Source organism: Homo sapiens, chromosome 17, assembly GCF_000001405.40.
Source record: "Homo sapiens chromosome 17, GRCh38.p14 Primary Assembly".
In the NCBI taxonomy this organism is placed as follows: domain Eukaryota; kingdom Metazoa; phylum Chordata; class Mammalia; order Primates; family Hominidae; genus Homo; species Homo sapiens.
This window is the reverse complement of record NC_000017.11, coordinates 13,131,293-13,153,448: the sequence shown is the minus strand read 5'-3', so window position 1 is coordinate 13,153,448 and position 22,156 is coordinate 13,131,293. Positions and strand designations below refer to the sequence as shown.

At 39.0% G+C, this 22,156-nt stretch overlaps 1 annotated feature.

Annotated features, from left to right (window-relative positions):
* Positions 12,104-12,724: an enhancer, noted in NCBI's record as "OCT4-NANOG hESC enhancer chr17:13044042-13044662 (GRCh37/hg19 assembly coordinates)". NCBI's record gives its function as "activates a minimal SCP1, AML or CMV promoter by ChIP-STARR-seq in primed H9 embryonic stem cells {active_cell/tissue: H9 hESC(primed)}" and the evidence as "EXISTENCE:reporter gene assay evidence [ECO:0000049][PMID:30033119]".

Sequence of the window (22,156 nt, the reverse complement as noted above, 5' to 3'; positions counted from 1 at the left end):
GCAGAGAATCACAGCTCACCAGAGGAGAAACTCACAAGCAGAAATCTGCTCCAGAAACAGTGCCTAGATAGGAAAACTTATACTGTAACTGAAGAACCTCTGAAGGCTCAGTATGGACATGTCTGAGAGTTTAGGAATCCAGAGGACCCAGTCATCAAGAAGCCCACAAACTTTCGTGATTATTACCTACAAGAATTCACTGAATTGAATTGAATTCACTGAATTCAATGAACTGATTCAATTCACTGATGTAAACAATCACAAAAAATCCCTTGGTGCTTCAATCAGGGGGAGGGTAAAAGAAGCCATTTTGAAATGTGCCAGAGCATTCAGTTCTTAACAATGTCTGCCCCTAGGAGAAACTAGCCAGAGCCTAACCTTCTGGGTTTTATCAGAGGCTAGCTGACCTAGAGGAGGGGAAATACCCAATGTCAGCCCACTCTAGCCATTCTGTCCCATGTGGGAGGGAAGGGAAGACGAGAAGCACTTGTGAAGTTCACAATCCAGAGGCACAAGCTTACTCAACACTGAGACCTAACCATGGGAATACAGAACGCTCTCCCTCCCTCACACAGTATATCATCTTCGACCATCAAAACAAATGACAAGGCATACTAAAAGGCAAAAACAAACAAACAAACAAAAACAAAAAACAAACCACACACACACAGTTTGAAGACACAGAGCAAGCATCAAAATCAGACACAGATACGTCAGGGATGTTGGAATTATCAAACCTGGAACTTAAAACAACTATGATTCATATGTTAAGCATTATATTGGAGAAAGCAGGCAGCATTCAAGAAAAAAATGAACAAAATTGCATCACCATTTGCATTAACAGCACTGAAAATTCAATATGTAATGAACATTTTAAAATTTAAAATGAAATATAAATCTAACAAAATATAATCAGAATCTATAGGAGGGAAACTATAAAATTCTGATGAAAGAAATCAAAGAACTAAATAAATGGAGATATAGTCTGCGTTCACATATCTCAATATTATCAAAATGTCACTTCTTCCCAATTTGGTCTACAGATTCAATTTAATCCCAATCAAAATTCTAGCAAGTTATTTTATGGGAATTAACAATCTGATTCTAAAATTTATATTATGGGCAAAAGATCCAGAATAAATGCAGTACTGGAAGAGAAGAAAACAAAGTTGGAGGACTGACCCTATCAGCCTTCAAGACTTACTATAAAGCTACAGTAATCAAAATAATGTGATATTGGTGAAAGAGTAGACAAATATAGAGCCCAGAAATAGACCCACATAAATATAGTCAGCTGACCTTTGACAAAAGAGTAAAGGTAATCAATGAAACAAAGACAGACTTTTCAGCAAATGGTGCAGGAATAACTGGACATCTACATGCAAAAAAAAAATGAATCCAAACACAGGCCTTATAACCTTAACAAAAATTAGCTTAGAAAGACATCATAGACCTAAATGTAAAATGAAACACTGTAAAACTAGAAGATAACATAGGAGAAATCTAGGTAACATGGGTTTGGTAATGACTTTCTAGATAAAACACCAATGGCACAATCCATGAAAGAAATAATAAACTAGACTTCATTAAAATTAAAAACTTTTGTTCTGCAAAAAGCATTATTAATAGAATTGAAAGCCAAGCCACAAACTGTGATAAAAATATTTGCAAACGACATACCTCATAAAGGACTGTTATCCAAAATATACAAATAACTCTTAAAAGTCAGTAATAAGAAAAATAAGCAATATAAATTTTAAAATGAATGAAAGATCTGAACAGACACATCACTAAAGAAGACATACAGATGCCAAATAGATTTAAAAACAAAATGCTCAACACCGTGTGTCACCAGGGAATTGCAAATTAAGACAACAATGAGATATCACCACACACCAGTTAGAATGGCCAAAATCCAAAACACAGAAAACATTAAATGTTTATGAAGATGTGGGAAACCAGAAACTCTCATTCATTGCTTATGGAAATGCAAAACTGTGCAGTCACTTTGGAAGACAGCTTGATAGTTTTGTACAAAATAAAACATACATTTATCATATGATTTCACAATCTTGTTCCTTAGCATTTACCCAAATGGGTTGAAAATTACGTCCCCACAAAAACCTGCACATGGATGTTTACAGAAACTTTCTTCATAATTTCTGAAACTTGGCAGCAACAAAATGTCCTTAAGTGGGCCGGGCACAGTGGCTCACGCCTGTAATCCCAGAACTTTGGGAAGCCGAGGCTGGCGGATCACAAAGTCAGGAGCTCGAGACCAGCCTGGCCAACATAGTGAAACCCCATCTCTACTAAAAATACAAAAAATTAGCCAGGCTTGGTGGCAGGTGCCTGTAATCCCAGCTACTTGGGGGGCTGAGGCAGGAGAATCGCTTGAACCTGGGAGGCAGAGGTTGTAGTGAGCCGAGATGGCACCACCGCACTCCAGCCTGGATGACAGTGCGAGATTCCGTCTCAAAAAATAAATAAATAAATAAATAAATAAATAAATAAATAAATAAATAAATAAAAAGTCCTTAAGTGAATGGATAAACTGGTACATCCAGACAATGAAATATTATTCAGCACTAAAAATAAGTGAGCTACCAAGCCATGAAAAGACATGGAAGAGCCTTAGAGGCATGTTACTAAGTGAAAGAAGCCAACCCGAAGTCTAAGTGCTGTACAATTTCAACTATATGACATTCTGGTAAGAGCGAAACCATGAAGACGGTAAAAAATTAGTGGTTTCCAGAGAGTAGGAGGAGGGAGGTATGAATAGGAAGGGCACAAAGGATTTTTGAGACAGTGAAACTATTCTGCATGGTCTATAATGGTGGATGTATGTCATCATACGTTTTTCAAAATCCATAGGATATACAACACCAAGAGTGAACCCTAATGTAAGCTATGGACTTTGGATGATGAAATATCAATGTAGGTTCATCAATTGTAACAGCTGTTCCACTCTGGTGTTTATGTTGGTAGTGGTGTAGGCTATGCCTGTGTTGGGGCAGGAAGTATAATGTGTTTCTGCTCAGTTTTCCTGTGCACCTAAAACTGCTCTAAAAAATAGTCTATTAAAAAATTAACCCAAAATAACAACAAAAAGCCTGCTAGGATATTAAACATGGTACATCTAATCATTTTTTTAGGCCTTTTATTTTCCTTTACAATGTTATATACATTCTAATATATAAGGTCATGAACATCATTGATTTAGTTGGCTCCTAAATATTTTATCTTTGGATGCTACTGTAGTGAAATTTTGTTTCAATTTCTAATAGTTAATTGCTAGTATAGAGATATACAGTTGATTCTTGTATTTTTGACTTGGTGTAACTGTGCTAAACTTCTTATTAATTCTGGTAACTTTTTGTTCATTTGTGGATTTTTATATATACCAACAAGGCATTTACAAATAAAGACAGCTTTACTTCCTTCCACTCTGAATGCCATTTATTTATTTCTTCTTGCCTTATTGCATTGAATAGAACTTCACAATTTTGAATAGGTGTGGGGAGAGGAGACATCCCTGCCTTGCTCCTGTAGAAAGCATTGAGCTTTCATCACTGAGTATCATCTTAGTTTCTCGGGTTGAGAAAGCTTTCTCTCTTAATAATTTACTGATGGCTTTCATTAAAAATAAACGTTGAATTTTGTCAAATATTTTTTCTGCATCTATTGACATAATCATGTGGCTTATTTTGCTTGTTTACTATGTTGAAATATATTGATTGACTTTCAGATGTTAAATCAACCCTTTATTACCAGGATAAACACATCTTGGTCATGATGTACTTTTTTTTTATATTGTTGAACTTGATTTGCTGAAACTTTGGTAAGAATTTTTAATCTAATTTTATAAAAGATATAGGTCTGTAGTTTTATTTCATTGTAATCCTATTCTGATTTGTATGTCAGAGTAGTATAGGCCTTATAGAATTAGTTAGGAATTTTTCTGTATTTTCTGAATGTTTGTGTGAAATTGGTACTATTTCTTTCTTAAATGTTTATGTAACTCACCAGACAAGCCATCTGGAACTGAAGGTTGTTTGTGGGAAGTTTTTTTTTTTTTTTATCCTCAATTAAATTTATTTTATTTATATAGAGCTTTCTAACTTTTCTATTTTTTTTTTCTTTTGAAACAGGATCTTACTCTGTCTCCCAGGCTGGAGTTGAGTGGCACGATCATGGCTCACTGCAGCCTCAACTTCCAGGGCTCAATTGATCCTCCTGCCTCAGCCTTTTGAGTAGCTGGGGCTGCAAATGTGTACCACAACACCCAGCTAATTTAGTTTATTTTTTGTAGAGACAGTGTCTCACTATGTTGCCCAGGCTGGTCTCGAACTCCTGGGCTCAAGCAATCAATCTGCCTCAGCCTCCCAAAGCCCTGGGATTATAGGCATAACCTACCACACCTGGACTTGCTTTTCTATTTCTTTTTGAGTAAGTTTTGGTAATTTGATTTCAAGAACTCTGAATAAAGCATCTTATCGCATAGAACAGAAAAACAGAAGACAGCAGGACCAACTGTTATTATTATGTCCCAAATAAAATGAAATTTGAAAATACACTTCTTACGTTTTCAGATTTCTCTCCATTACTTCATGGCATATGTTATATACTTCATGGCATGGCATATCTCATTAAGAAATGAGTTCCAGAACCTCCTCCTCTTCAGTTCACTCTTCGAGCCCAGCTCTGATTGTTTTTCCTTCTGCATCCCACTGTCATTTCAGCCACTCTCAGCAATATCTTCAACACCCTTGTGCTGTGATTCTGTTCCATTGGCCCTGCGAAATCCACACACCATGGATCAACTTAACTTTTCACTTTCTCTGCTCTTGCTTCCAGGCTGCTAAATAACAGTGAAGGAAATTATACAACCTCATGAAACAGTATGACCTCAAATCCATGATTTCTGCCTTCTCTTGAGTTTTCAGCAATCTGTGACAATTTGTCCGTTTTTCTTTCATCAGATCTACCTCTTGGCCAGGCACGGTGGCTCACACCTGTAACCCCAGCTACTCGGGAGGCTGAGGCAGGAGAATTGCTTGAGCCCTGGAGGCGGAGGTTGCGGTGAGCCCAGATCGCGCGATTGCACTCCAACCTGGGCAACAAGAGCGAAACTCCATCTCAAACAAAACAAAACAAAACAAAACAAAACAAAACAAAAATCTACCACTTATTTTTCAGGGTGACTATTTCAAACTTCTACCACTGAAAATCTGTACATTATCATATCCCTTCTTCTTTTCAACAGACAACTGGCCTTCTATTTTATGGTAAAATAGAAGTCACAAGACAGAAGGAAATACTTTCTCCTTTGCTGCCACCTCAAGCTTCCCGGTGTTTCTAAAGGGTCGTGTTCACCTTCCTAATTAGGACGATGGAAGAAGCATCTCTCTTCTTGCATAAAACTAATCCCTCCCCTTATGATCTAGATCCTATTTTCAACAGCTCCTCCAGGGATTTAATTTCATAAATGATCTACTTTCTCACCTGAGGTTTCAACACTGTTCTATACTGGGGCTTTTCCCATCAGTATTTAAAGGTGCTTAATTCTCTTCCCGCACCCTCTACCCCAAATTATTTTTCTTTTTATGTATCTCATCCTATCTCATTCTCATGTCACACCCTCTTCACAGACACACTCATGGGAAGAGTCGCTTGCAGTAGCTCCATACAGCCAGGAGCGCTCAGTACTCTGAAGTTTGGCAGGCTCGTTTCCACTGAAACCCCCTGATTCACCACTGCCAATGGACTTGTGGCAAAATCCAGGGGCACTTTTGTGTCATACTCGACAAAGGGCATCAGAAAGATTAAATTGATGAAAATGTTGAATCAGACAAATGGCACCCCTAGAAGCAGGAGTCCCCAAATTAGTATTAAACCAAGTGAAATTCTGAGCAAAAGCTATAAAATGGGAAAAGGAGAGTCAATTTAAACTCATAAACTTTAAAATTAACAGATACTTGATGTGATGGATATGCAAATTACCCTGATTTGATCATTATACATTGTATACATGTAGCAAAGTATCATACCCTACTCCATAAATACGTACAATTATTAGGTGTCAGTTAAAAATAATAATAAAAGCAGAAAATATTAACAGAGAAGTTAGTTGATTTGAATCTTTATGAAGAAAATGGCATATATTGAAATGTATAAAGGAAAAATTGCTTGAATGTTTGGAAACACTGACAAAACACTGAAGTGAAAAGCTGTAATTAAACTCTCTAAGTCATTGTAAGATTAAGTAGTACCCTTAAAAAGTTTACAAAAGATATGAGTTATATAATTAGTAAGTATGAGTAGGGAGATGGCTAGATTCAGCTTTTTTATTGCTTTAATTAGCATTATTCATCATATTTTAGACCAAATAAAGTAAATAAAAGTTAAAGATATTATTTATCTTTAATAAAGCTTTAAATTGTTTCATTATAAACTAGAAAGAATGAAAATCAATGACCTAAGCATACAACACAGGAAATTTACAGAAAGGAAACAGGTAAGTATTAGAGAATACTAATAAAGATAAAGGAAAAATGTAATGCACTGGAAATAAAAGATGGATTGATTAATAAGTCCAAGAGCTGATTTACTGACAGTAAAGTGGACAGAGCTCTAAGTCAGCTTAACTCCAAAACAAAAAAAAATCATAAAGGAGATAGGGCATGTAACCAAGATATAAAAGAAAATTTTAATATAAAACACTACGTACAAATCTACTAATGTGATATTTCAATGAAATGAGATTTTTCCAGCAAAAACTAAGGTTCCAAACTTGACACAAGGTTGAAAACAGAAATAGCTGCCAAAAGAGTCGTTAATGATTTTAAGGAACCCCAAATAAACCTGGACTGAGGAATTTTACTGGTGAGTCCTAGCTAATATCAAGAGACAGATAGTTCATATGGCATTGCAATTGTTCCAAAGCAAGTAAATGGACAGAGAATTGGCAGAATCCTGATAACAGAATCTGAAAAACATTGCCTTAAAAACAAACAAACAAAAAACTTAGACAAATATTTAGTTATGAATATACAAGAAAACTGGTAAGGAAAATATCAGCAAAACAAACCTAGCCACATATTAAATAAATCACATAGTCTTAGACAAGGGTATAAAGAAAATCAATCAATCAATCACATACATTGAAGACAGCACAATAGTCTTTCTCCAGAATTGTGAAAATGAATCAGTCTTTTTTAAAAACTATGAACATAATTAATTATATCAATGAATCTAAAAAGATTTTCTAAAGCATATGCAGTTTTCCCTTTTCCACGGTTTTGCTTTTCTCAGTTTCAGTTACTCACAGTCCAAATATATTAAGTGGAAAATTTCAGAAATAAGCAATTCATAAGTTTTAAAGTCGGTGCTGTTCTGAGTAGCATAATGAAATTTCTTGCTATCCAGTCTATTCCACACAGGACATGAATCATCCCTTTTTCCAGTGTATCCAGGTGTATTAGTTTGTTTCACTCTGCCCTAAAGAGCTACCTGAGATTGGGTAATTTATTAAAAAAAAAAAAAAAAAAAAAAAGAGGTTTCATTGACTCACAGTTCCACTTGGCTGTGGAGGCCTCAGGAAACTTACAATCATGGCTGAAGGTGAAGGGGAAGCAAGACACATCTCATTTGGTGGCAGGAGAGAGGTGAGGGGGAAGTGCCACACACTTTTAAACCATCAGATCTCAGGAGAACTCACTCACTATCATGGGAACAGCAAGGGGGAAATCCACCCCTCATGATTCAATCACCTCTCACCAGTTACCTCCCCTGGATTACAATTTGAGATGAGATTTGGGTGGGAAAACAGAGCTAACCCATATCACCACGTAAGGGGAAGTATAGTATAGAAAGATATTTTGAAAGAGAGACCAGATTCACAGAACTTTTATTATAGTATAATGCTTCTACTCTACTATTAGTTATTATTAATAATCTCTACTGTGTGCAATTTTAAATTAAACTTTATCACAGGTATGAAGGTATAAAAAACCGTAATAAACATAGAGTCCAGTACTATCGTATAAAAAAACCGTAATACACATAGAGTCCAGTACCATCCTCAGTTTCAGACCAGAGGTCTTAGAAACTATCCACTGTGGGTAAGTGAAGATAGTCATTTTCTTAGATGTTAAAAAAAGTTTCTAAATAAAAAGGTGCTGTTAACTTCTTTACAATCATGGTTTTTTGTAAAATAAGAATAAAATATATTAAATTAATGTGAAACCATATATCTATCCGAAACCAACAGCAAAGACCATTCTTTTTTTTTTTTTTTTTTTTTTTAGACGGAGTCTCACTCTGTCGCCCGGCTGGAGTGCAGTGGCACATTCTCGGCTCACTGCAACCTCCGCCTTCTGGATTCAAGCAATTCTCCTGCCTCAGCCTCCCGAGTAGCTGGGACTACAGGAGCCCGCCACCACGCCCGGCTAATTTTTTTTGTATTTTTAGTAGAGACAGGGTTTCACCACGTCAGCCAGACTGCTGTCAAACTTCTGACCTCAGGTGATCCTCCCGTCTCGGCCTCCCAGAGATCATTCTTAACCCTGGAAGTCTAGAGACCTTCTTATTAAAATCAGAAGCTGGGCATAGTGGCTCACACCTGTAACAGAAGACCCAGAAACTGAGGCAGAAGGATCCCTTGAGGACAAAAGTTAGAGACCAGCCTGAGCAACATACTAAGACTCCATTTCTAAAAAAAAAAAATTTAATTAGGCACGAAAGTGCATTCCTGTAGTCCCAGCTGCTCGGGAAGTTGAAATAGCAGAATCACTTGAGCCCAGGAGTTTGAGGCTGCAGGAAGTTATGATCACACTACTGCACTCCAGCCTGAATAATAGCATGAGACCACATTTCTAAAAATCTAAAAAGAGAAAATCAGGAATGACATGAATATCAGCACCACTGTTATTAAATTTGGAAGTCCTTGCAAACACAATCAGAAAGGAAATGTTTGTGTGTGTGTGTAAAGATGTGCATATATGTGTATATGTATATACACACATATTCATGTTCTTAAAAAGGCTGGATAGCAAGCAGGATAAGAATCAAATTGCCTCAGTAAAGTTTTTGCTCTTAAATTTATAAACCATGTACCTTTCAACAAACTTCTCATGCTGCCTTCATTTCTTCATCCAAAATTAAAGGAAATAACAATTGTACCTACTTTATACAAAGCTGTAAAGCTTAAAACAAAGATAATATGAGTAAAAGCTTAGAAGGCTTTCTGGCACAGAATAAATGCCAAACAAATCCTTACTCACTATAAAATATCTGCCATTAATATAGAAAAGGCCCTTAAAACTTGGTAACAAAAATTAAATATCCCAGTAGAAAAGGAGAGAAGACTTGAGCTAGTAGTTCCCATGAATTACTAACTAGTAAAGTAATATTAATAATGAATGAAGATGTAATGGTTTATTCAACACAATAAGTAATAAAACAATTATAAATAAAAATAATAAAATGACTTTTTAATTTGAATCATATGAAACATTTATATAAGAGAAAGAAGCAATAATAATTGCTTCTTTGGAGGTTAATTTCTCAGAATATACTTTATAAAACTTAAAAGTTTGCCTCCTTAATTTAGAAAATCCACTTTAAGTACTTCATCCAAATAAAAAACTAAAATCATGCACACAGTTTTAGCTGTGAGAATTCATAACAACACTGTTCATGACAGAAGAAATTCCATTAATTGAACTGTCCAAAAAACATCAGAGGACCTTCAGAAATGAAGTACTATGCTGCCCTCACAAATAAGGCTGTGGAAGTACATTTATTGTGTGGGAAGATTTTCAAATATATTATAAATCTTAAAATGCAGATTAGGAAATGATAGCAGAATGATCTTTGTAAAGAAACACACATATATACACAGGAGCAGAGACGTAGGTGCCAAGATACAAACCAAGCCACCTGGTTGCATAAAATTACAGGTATTATTTATTTGTTCTCTTGGTGAATTTGTATTTTTATTTGGTGACCATGCACTGCTTTTGTGCATAAGGTTAAAAAAAAAAGAAAAAGAAAAAAGCAGTGGGAGGTGGCAGCCAGGCAACAGAACTCCAGAACTCAAAGAAATAATTTCTATGAGGAGCTTAGCTAATGTGGCCAAGGTACATTTTAAAGAACAAGCTGAAGGGAATGCAGGGGGCCCCCCATTCACCAGACCACACAGGAAGTTCAAATATTATGAAACCCAATTTAATAAGCATTGCTGCCCCAATAAAACCTACAGCCACAGACACCAGGACTCCCTGCTGCGTGCCAGAGCAGTGCATGTATCAGCATTGGACTCAATAACTGACTCAATGCATTCTCCCCTCTCTATGTTCCTACAGTTGCTCAAAATGTATCCCTCACCAACTTCCATTTTTTCCCAGTTTGGGAAAGAGTATTGCTTTCTTTTTAATTTTATTCTGATGTTCATTTTCTTCATGTGTTTATTTGGACTCTAAGTTGGGGTAGGTGGGAGGCTGGAAGATAGAGAATTCCAACAGAGTTCCCTAAGTAATGCTATTCCAATTTAACTTACATTTTATGATACCAACCATTAGTTGTAGTTATTTAATTTCACAGATTGGACTCCTCAAACTTGTATAAATATTTAAGTAAATAAATAAAGACTGCTATCATCCTTTTAATGTTAAATGTTTCTCCACAGAAGCAAGAGGTCTTAAGATATGTATGGGAAATGTCAGTAATCGTATTTCCAAGAGGGGAAAAAGGAGTTAAACATGACTTCAAGATTTCCTCCTGTCAAGGCGGCATGGTGGTATCATTAACACATAGAGGGATTGGAAGTGAAAAGTAGATTGCAGAAAAAAGATGAATTTAGTTCAGTTGAGGAGAGTGAAGTGGTGGGACTTCTGCATGGATTTATAAGAAAATCAGTTGGAAATGCAAATGGGAACAAAAGAGAAGGACCAAGACCTTCCACTGGGTTGAGTTTATATTCTGTATAAATGCACAGAAGTTTATAAAACTCTCAAAACAATGCACAGGAGAAAAGACCTAGAAGCAAAAGTTGAGCACTGAAAAAAGTCCAGGTCTGGGTATTAAAGGAGAAAGAAGATTCAGAGGCAAGAGGTAGCATGGTCAGAGAAGAGAAAAGTAGACTGAAACAGTGCCCTAGATTCACAATTGTTAGCGGAGAACACACAAGTTAATGTTCTCTGGTCAAATCTCTAAGTGAAACAGTGGGTTAACCTAGTTAAGAAGCTTTATTTACTGCAGGTCTTTATGGAGCCTTTGATATATAGATTTGCCTTATGGGACTTTAGACTATGTTGTGACATTTCCCCAACTTACACAACCAGAGACTTATGTAGAGTTACCCCTACTTACTTCTAAGTAAGATACTTGCCTATCTAGAGTTACCCCTACTTACTTCTCAAAGAAGGAGCACCAGTGTTCCTAGATACTTAGAGTCTGGGAAACACTGATGTAAAGGTATGGCAACAAAAGGAGGAAAGGATCTTAAGAAGTTATGAATGGTTATCATATAATCCTGCACAAGAATGCATGGCTTAATTACTCAATGACATAGAAGTCTTTGCTATCCAAATGCAGCCAGAGTTGTTTGAAAGATTCGGCCCTTCTAATAGTCCAAAATCTAAAAGTTATGTCTACAATAAAAATTTGAGCCTTAAAAATACTATTTGAGGGTGTAGTGGAGCAACACTAATCATAACATGGTACAATAAATGAAGTTCTCCTTTAACTTTCCTAGAGAAAGTCCATTGTGGCCAAGCCATCTAGTGATTCCTGGAATATAATAATCACATTTGTATGATGTGTTGCTGTTCCTGTGCCCTTTTTTATGCAGAGAACAAGATAAAAAGAATTTTTTTAAAAAAAGGAAGGAGAAAAATTAGGAGGAAGGAAGAATGAAAGGAAGAGAAGAGGGAAGGAGAGATGGGAAGGAAGGAAAACTAGATACCTTTTCTGAGTGTGGCCTGCCTCCAGAGAATAATTCATCCTCATTTGAGCCTTTGTGCGTTTTACAAAATCAATTGAAGAGCTGGAAACAATAGTTAAAGCTGAAAATATCAAAATACCTTGCTTTCACAGTTGTTTACTCTTAGATGCCGCTGAATTCTGATGCCAGAAGAAAACATAGAGGGAGGTGAGCTCAGCTGATAATAGAGTCTCATCTCACCTCCAGAGCCAAAAGGCTGGAGGGTTTTTCCTCCCTGCTGAAATGTGCCTCGCAAATAATTTGAAAAGAATACATTTCTCAGCACAGATAACTTAGGAAGTTCCCATTGTGGTCATGACTGGCAGAGTGCATTGATCTGAGGTAGGATATTGGCTGTCAGACTGCCACCAAGGCAAGCAGAGAACTACAGTCTGTCTTTGATATGGAAATCCAAAGGCCGAGATTCCTGCTGAATGGGCTTATACAGCCTCTGCCTCAAACAAAGCGTAGAAGCAACATCAATGAAACCCTATTCTTGTTAGTGGGAGCAGCTTGGAATCCCACTTCCTGTTAGCCAGATCCTTTTGATTCTACTGACATCTATGGGCTGACTTAGCTTTGCTGTTTCCTTTTCTTTACTTACTTAACTGTTCCAATTCTCATATTTTTTAAAGGTTTTTTAAATGTATTCATTTAAAAGACAGTAGTAAACCTACTGTCTGCTCAAACATGGTGCTCCAAGGGATGCCTGCCTTTCTGCCCCCCAGAGATAATGAGGAGAAAAAAATTCTCCTATCAAAAGCCACTGTCCCCTACCCTCCAGTTCAACCCAAGTTTAGGCACTTCCTGCATTGGTTTTTCCACAAGAATCTCATTCTCCACCCGGCTTTGATTCAGACACATAAAGGGAAATAGTTTATATGTATAAAGTATTACTGTCATGCAGAGAGTATGTCATTTTGGAATATACTATCATCAGTATACTATACATTATCTACTTATTATCCAAGGTTTACTTAGTGCTCATTATATCATCAACAGAATAGTTAAGATGGGCAAGTTCTTTTGAGGGGGGCAACTGCCACAACTCTTGAAGTAAATCTGGAGAATTTTTCCAAAAGTTGACAGAGGTTAATTCTGCTCTAAATTTTCCATTTTGAAGCATATGGCCATTTCATTATCTCATCTCTTTTAATCCCAAGTCCACCATCCATCTCTGTTTCTTTCTTTATATTTTGTCCCCACTGGCTCTATTTTTAACAATTTGTCTCCAATCCATTTTTTGTTCCCACTGATTCAATTTGTAACTTTTGTCTCCAATCAGCTTCACCCATTTTGTTCCCTTCTTCATTCTTTGTTCTCCCTTGCTCCATTTGTAACAAGGTCTCCACTCAATTTCACCAACTCATTATCAACTCAGACTGCACATGTATTAGTCTATTCTCACACTGCGAATAAAGACATATCTGAGACTGGATAATTTATAAAGGAAAGAGGTTTAATTGACTCACAGTTCAGCATGGCTGAAGGAGGCCTCAGGAAACTTATGATCATAGCAGAAGGGGAAGCAATCATGTCCTTCTTCACGTGGCAGCAGGAAGGAGAAGGATGAGAGCCAAATGAATCCCCTTATGAAACCATCAGATCTTGTGAGAACTTACTCACTATCACAAGAATAGCATGGGGGAAACCACCTTCATGTTTCAATTACCTCCCATCAGGTCCCTCCCATGACATGTGGAGATTATGGGAACTACAATTCAAGATGAGATTTGGGTGGGGACACAGCCAAACCATATTATTCCACCCCTGACCCTCCCAAATCTCATGTCCTCACATTTCAAAACATAATCATGCCCTTCCAAGAATCCCCCAAAGTCCCAATTCACTCCAGCATTAACTTAAAAGTCCACGTCCAAAGTCTAATCTGAGACAAGACCTCTTCCACCTATGAGCCTGTAAAATCAAAAGCAAGTTAACTTCTTCCTAGATACAATGGGGATAGAGGCATTAAGTAAATACACCCAATCCAAATAAAAGAAATTGGCCAATACAAAGGGGCTACAGGTGCCCATGCAAGTCTGAAACCCAGTAGGGTAGTCATTAAACCTTAAAGTTCAAAAATGACCACCTTTGATTCCATATGTCACATCCAGGGCATGCTGATGCAAGAGGTGGGCTCCCATGGCCCTGGGGAGCTCTGTTCCTGTGGCTTTTCAGGGTACAACCCCACTCCTGGCTGCTTTCACATGCTAGCATTAAATATCTGCAGCTTTTTTAGGTGCATGGTGCAAGCTGTCAGTGGATCTACCATTCTGGGGTCTGGAGGATGGTGGCCCTCTTCTCACAGCTCCACTAGGCAGTGCCCCAGTGGGTACTCTGTGTGGTGGCTACTACCCACATTTCCTTTCCACACTGCACTAGCAGAGGTTCTCCATGAGGGCTTTGACTTTGCAGCAGACTTCTGCCTGGACATTCAGGCATTTCTATATGTGCTCTGAAATCTAGGCAGAGTTTCCCAAACCTCAATTCTTGACTTCTGTGCATCGGCAGGCCCAACACCACATGTAAGCCACCAAGTCTTGAGGCTTGCACCCTCTGAAGCAATGGCCTGAGCTGTACATTAGCTACTTTTAGCCATGGCTGGAGCTCAAGCAGCTGGGATGCAGGGCACCATGTCCCAAGGATGCATAGAGCAGGGGGACCTGGGCCCAGGCAACAAAACTATTTTTCCCTTCTAGGCCTTAGGGCCTGTGATGGGAGGTGGTGCCATGAAGATCTATGACATGCCTTGAAGACATTTTCCACATTGTCTTGGTGATTAACATTCGGCTCCTCATACTTATGCAAATTTCTGCAGCTGATGTAAATTTCACCCCAGAACATGGTTTTTTCTTTTCTGTCCCATCATCAGTCTGCAAATTTTCCAAACTTTTATGCTCTGTTTCCTCTTGAATGCTTTGCCACTTAGAAATTTCTTCCACCGGATACCCTAAATCATATCTCTCAAGTTCAAAGTTCCACAGATCTCTAGGGCAGGGACAAAATGTTACCTGTCTCTTTGCATAGCAAGAGGGACCTTTACTCCAGTTCCCAACAAGTTCATCTCCGTCTAAGAGGAGGAGCATTTGGTCAAAGCCATTCAACAAGTCTCTAAGAAGTTCTAAACTTTCCCACATCTTTCTTGTCTTCTGAGCCTTCCAAACTGTTCCAACCTCTGCCTGTTAGCCAGTTCCAAAGTCACTTCCACATTTTCAGGTATCTTTACAGCAGCAGCCCACTCTCTGTGGTAACAATTTCCTGTATTATTCTGTTCTTATGCTGCTAATAAAGACATACCTGAGACTGGGTAATTTATAAAGGAAAGAGGTTTAATTGACTCATAGTTCAGCATGGCTGAGAGAGGCCTCAGGAAACTTACAATCATGGCAGAAGGGAAAGCAAACACATCCTTCTTCACATAGCAGCAGGAAAGAGAAGAATAAGAGCTCAGCAAAGGGGGAAGCCCCTTTTGAAACCATCAGATCTTGTGAAAACTTACTATCATGAGACTAGCATGGGGGAAACTGTCCCCATGATTTACTTATCTCCAATTGGGTCCCTCCCACGACACATGGGGATTATGGGAACTACAATTCAAGATGAAATTTGGGTGGAGACACAACCAAACCATATCAATACAGTTATTCTCTATGATGACATCCATTTTCGCTCCAGTCTTTAGAATCAAACCAGCCTTATTTCAAAGTACACATCTGCACTGCCCAGTTACTCCCTTCCCTGACTTGAGACCTTACCGTTATTTCTGAATGCAGAATACCTCACTTGATTTTTAAAGTGCTTTGTCATGTAAACCATGAACTCCTTAGGGAAGAAGAGGATTTTCTTGCTGAATCAAACAGCCTAACTTCTTTCAACTGCACTGAGTGCAAGCACACATCTTACATTCAGGATAATGAGAAATGTAGCAAATAGCATACGTAAATATGAAGAGCAACATGTTCCAGTGCGACTTCAGCCAGTAACATCAGTGCCTACAGCTTCTGGTTCAGCCCTCACAAATAGCTAAGGACCTGCATGCCAAATGGAAAGAATTGACCCTATTCTCCTCTGGAGCAATCTGTAATTATAAGCAACAAACACAATGAAAACTAGAAGGCTGTAAGAAGACACACCCTTAGTTAAAAATCCACCTGGAAAAGAGGAACCATGGAATTCAGGCCCCATGTATTTCCTCTTCACTTGTAAGCATGATGTAGGAGAAAGAGCATGGACTCTTTGGGATCTAACAAAACTGAGTTTGAAACATGGCTCTGCCACTTAGTCCGTGGTTGAGCCTGACCAAGTTGTCTGCTTTTTGTAAGCCTTACATTCATCAGCTGGAAAATATAAAGGGCAATGATTTGAACCATAGAAATATTTATGTTTCTGACATAAGCTACACCCTTTATAGATTTTCCAAACTCGACATTATATATATCAAAATAAGGTTTTAATTTTAAAAAATTTTAAAGATCATTAGACAATAAGGGACCAAACCGTCTTGAGGACTTCAGCTACATTCCCTGAGGAGTCCTCCTCTGCCTCAAGATGTCCTGCCTCAGTGACTCCCCAGCCTGGTTCATCACCAGCTTCAAGTGGGGAGCTCTTAAAATGTGCCCTGCCCCTTGAAAATTTGATTAGGTCTAGAATTGAACCAGGATTCTGTATTTCGGTAAGTATCCTCATGGTGATGATGATCAACAAGATTTGGGAATTACCAATATCCCTATAGAACAAATTGGCAATTCCTATAAGTTTAGTGAAGACATTTGCCTTTACCCTCAAGCTGCTAAAACAAGAGAACCTTCTACACGAGACTGCTTCACATACGTTTGCGTATGTTAGGAAAAACAGACTCCAATTAAGGGTTCTCTGAGATCAGGAAGTTCCATGGAACCATATAAGGCTTTCTCCTTGTCTTCATAAGTTTGATTTCTAACCAGAGTTAAAAGCGAATTATTTTCACTCAGGTAAGTGAACTGAATGCTCAGTCCAAGTCTAGTGTCATATTAGAATCTTAGGGGAATATTGGGAGTCACTTTCATAAAGACCACATTCCAGCTTACTGCCCAAGATTCACAAGGCATCCCCTCCCAACTAAGGCCAAGGGTAGAAATAGTTGAAATGTTTGCCAATCACTTTCCAGGTGAGACTATTTTCAAAGCATAATCCAGTCCATAAAAGTTCTGGGCACCTGGTCTAGAAATCAGTCTTTCATTAAGGAAACACAAAATATCAGTGCTCCAGCTAAGTAGTGAGCCTTGGTCTTTAAGGACCTGGTTTGGATTTAAAACAGAGAAGCCAAAAAAACAGAATTCAGGACCCACGAGTATGTTTGTTACCTGCAAATTGTATTCTTTTGCCCGGTTTCACACTAGGCTTTCCATTGAAATCCCTGGAGATTAATTAGCTCTGTAATGGAAAAATACTTTTCTATTCTTTCACACCGCATTGCCTTTCTTTTCCTCCAAATACCAAATAAAGTATTAAAAGATGCTAAATCCCATAGGACAATTTTAAAATGAGGAATTGTTTTAGCCTGGAGGTTAAAGGAGGCAGCAAATGTACTCAATGTGACAATTTTCCAGCTAGAAAATTCAAAGCAGAATTTACTTGGTGTTTCATTCAGCCCCCTCACTTTGCCACATCCCCCTGGGCTCCACTCCTCCTTCTCTCTTCTGAGCAGAGGAGAAGCTGACAGCTTAAACAAAGCCTGGGGGAACAAAGGACGCTTCTAGGAGATGAGCCGCCGCTGCCCCTCGCCCCAGCCTCACCCCAGTCTCCTGCCCCTTAACCCTGAGTTTCAGGCAAGGGTGATTTCATCCTAAGGAATAACTGAAGTCTTTGGATAATGAACACTAACTCTTTAGCCCTCATTTTTTAAAATCTACCATTAATATAGAGTGACACTGAATTCCCTGGTAATCGGATTAGGGTATATTGCTCAAACTGTCATTCAGAGCTGAAGCCCCTTTATCTCTTTGCTGATAGGAAGCTAAGCTTCTTGACTCACTTTGCTGCTGTCTCTTTGGAGTCATCAAGAATCTGACTTCTTCAAGCCAACAATTTTATATGCTTAATCTTGGGTGAAAAGATTAGGGATTTAGAGAAGGTTTTTCAACATCCCTGCCATTCCTAAGAAGAAGACAGATTCCTCCTCCTCAATCCTTTCTCCCTCTGCCACCAACACACACACACGCACGCACACACACGCACACACACACACATCATACAAGCAGCTAACACACACAACACAACACAGATACAACATATACACACCCAACACAACACACCTACCCAACGCGCACAGCACAATGCACAGTAATATAACACAGGCACCAGAGACAAATTCAACACACACACACACACACACACCTAACATCATACAAGCAGACAACACACACAACAGGACACAGAGCTACAACACATATACTCCCTACACACACCCAACAAGACACATACAACATAATGCATGTACCCACGCACAGCATGCACAACAAAACATCACAACACACAGGGATACAGCACACACACACTAACCACACAGATACAACACACACAAAACAACACACACAAAAGCACACATTTGCATACATACAATTTAGGAGAAGAAAGAGAAATTCAAGCCTGCTGGTTGTCACATGAAAAGGTGGTATTTCCATGGACTCCGAAGAACAATTCTCAAACTTTGGGAGGCCATTGAGATCACCTGGCTAAAATGATGCACATTTGTTGTATGACTTGTGAACAATTAGGGTGCTTATACCTGGAAACTCTGTCAGAGATTGGCTCTAATCACAGTCTGGGAGCTTTCAGATGGAGATCCCCATGTGGTTCGAGTGAAAAAAAAAAAGTGCAAAAATTTCTATCACCAGGACTGACCAGTAACACTTGGCACACTCCCTGATGTTCACAAGCCCTCCGTGCCCATTTTGCACTAGGACACAGAGTGCTCAGTCAGAACCAGGCTTTCTAGCTCCACTCAACTTCCATCCAATGCCAAATAAGACAACCACAGAAAGAAAAACAGAACTCCTGGCTAACTTTAGGACCAAAAGTAAACAAACAAACAAAAACCCTTTAAATCCACATTAGAGGTGCCTCAGAATAGAAAGGCCAAGACGGTTAGGACTCAAAAAGGCAAACAAAAGAACATGAGAATGTCATTCTTCTGACTCACCTTATTCAACTGAATAGCCATGTGACCTTGCACAAGTCACTTGTCCTCTCTAGAACTGAATTTCCTCATCTCTACCATGGGGATCATGACAGATTTATATCTGCTTTACCTTCCTCATGAAGTTGTCTGAGGGCCAAATGACATAAATGCATAAAAAGCTCTGCACACTATTAAGGATTGATCATCAGTGACTCATATATTCATTGTAATCACTGGAAGGGTCTGGAAAAGCAAAGGTTAAATAGATGCTGGATGGGTACCTTCAAATATTGAATTGGTTGTGTGGAAAAGGCAATGGATTTGTCTTGTGTATGTTCAGGAAAGAGCTAGTGCCCATCTTCAAACTTACAAAGAGGTGGATTGCAATTTATCTCATCTCAACTCAATGCCACAGGCACTTATTGAGTACATCAGACATGCTAGGCATTCTGCTAGGTGCTCACCTGCTTTTAAGGCATATGCACAAAGAGAAATCATGAAGAGGAGCTGGCCTTCAGTTAGATATAAATGATGTGTAGGACTTTACCAGGAATACATTGAGTAAAGGGTATGCCATCGAAGGGGGCAGAATCAGTAAAGGTACACAAGTGAGGAAGTGCCAGCTGCATTTGGAGAACAGTGACTACTGTGTGCAACATCAGAGGGTACAGGAGGAAATGGCAGAGGATCTGAGGAGGAGACTGGCCAGATAAACTGAGATGCGACTGTGGAAGGCCTTATACATCATGCTAAGGATTTAATTCTATAGGCAGTGAGAGCTACTGGAAGTTTTTAGGCAATGGGGCAACAAGATCCTACAAGATTTAGGTTGTAGAAAAATATTTATTGCCTGTCCCTGATAAACATTGAAGATACAAACACAAAGACGGTACTGTGCCTGCAGAGGCAGAGACAAATCCACTCTCTGCTCCGCAACCCCATGCCGAACTGTGAGGGTCATCCCCCTGAAAACCTCACAGAAGGAAAATCTGACATATCTGAACTTAAGATCTTCAAATACAGTTGGGGGATCGCAGTCACAAATGAGCTCATGAAAGCTCTTATAAATATGTTTATGTTCATAATTATAAAGGCTCTTCACCAAATATAAACATTACCAATGGCGTTTCTCTGAAATGGATAAATGAATATGAATTTCATTCATATTTGATGCTTACTAACACATCTGTGGAGACACTTGTAAATCTACTGTGCATTGTTGCTGATGGAATGCACACGGAGTTGCAGCGTCCCCTCAGAACTGGTCTTGGATGTAAATGTTCAGTAACTTCACACTTATGGCCCAGAGTTGTAGGCCCCCTCTTCCCTTGACTGCCTGTCTCTAAGACTCAGAGTAGGGCAATTAGATATGCTGAATACATAAACACATATTAACCAATGCCAGGTAATATTTTCCACCCACTTCCCCCAATTTGCAGGGTTGTATCCCCCAAGCCTTGCTCTGGATAATGTTTTGCCCCACACGAACTGCCAACTTGTCATATGCTCCCCAGCACCTTTTGTCTTTAAAGAGGGAAGAGAACAGTTCTGAAGTTCTGGCTTGCCTTCCTTCAACCTCCCTTGTCTCTCCTAATTTCATTGTCAAAGTCTCTATGTTGCCCTGCTATCTACTCCACCTACTGCGCTTGTATGTGAAAGAAAACTATTTCTATATACTAGAATTTCAAATAAGGACTCAAAATGGCAATGCAAATGTGACCAAAGTACTATGAAAGGCTGTATTCTGCAATGCTCATAGATATATAAACAGGTGTTCAGGAGGCAGAATGAGTAATAGCCATGGTATCTTACCCATTAGGATGTTTTCAACTTCAAGAAACAAAATCCTTGACTACAGGTGGCTGCAATGATATTCTCTTCCATAACACAATGTCCAGAAGGAAATGGCTGAAGGCTTGATGCAGTGGGCCAGCCATGTGTTCAAGGAGCCCGGCTCCTTCCCTCTTTCTTCTCATCAGCATAATGACTTGGTCCTTAGGCTTAACTGCTCATGACCAGCTCCAGGCATCATAACTTTATACAGAAACACTTGAAACCAACAAGAATGGTCATTTCTTTTGGCGCATCTCTGTTAATTCACATCCCAGAAGATTTCCCTTTGATACCATTGACCGACATTAAATTATATGCCGAAGCCCAAGCTGCAAAGAAGGATCCAGAAACAAATATCTAGTATGACCAGCCTTTTTGACAGAGGCATCTCAGTCATGTGCAGACAACCAACAGCAGAGTGATCCACTCACTCATCCTGATTTGCCCAGGACTTTCCCAGTTTTAAAACGGAAAGTTGGACATTCTGGGAAGCCCCTCAGACCTGTGCAAACTGGATGGTTGGCCACCCATGTGTTATACTGTTCATATGTAGTGTGGTGGAGGAGTACACCAGGTGGCAAGGACATGGCCATAGTCTCAGGAAGGGGCTGAAGTACTGTAAGTGGCATTTGGGAGGGACAGGAGGGGCATTGCCTGAGCTACCCTGAAGCGGAATGCACAGGTCATAACTAGCATGTGGATGCTAAGGAGAGTCAAGAGTCACCGATGACTCTGGGGGTCCTGTCTTAAGTAAAAAGAACACCCATTTATTATTTCACAGGTCCGTGGGTCAGGAGTCCGGGCATGGTGTGATTCAGCTGCATCTTCTGCTCAGAGTTCTGCAAGGCTGAAATCAAAGGGTACAAACCCCTTTGAATTGTTGGAAGGATTTTGTTTCTGGCTCTTGCAGGACTGAGATCCCAGTTTCCTTGGCACATGACACTTTTCATCTTTAAGCCAATGACAGCACATCCCATCCTTTCCTTACCATGAATCTCTGACCTTCCCTTATGCTACCAGCTGAAGAAAGAGCTCTGCTTTCAAGGCCTCGTGTGATTAGATTAGGCCTGCACAATAATTCAGAAAAAAACTGATTAGCAACCTTAATTACATCTGCAAAGTCCCTTTGTAATATAACGCATTCACAGGAATAACACCAAGAGGCCGAGATCACT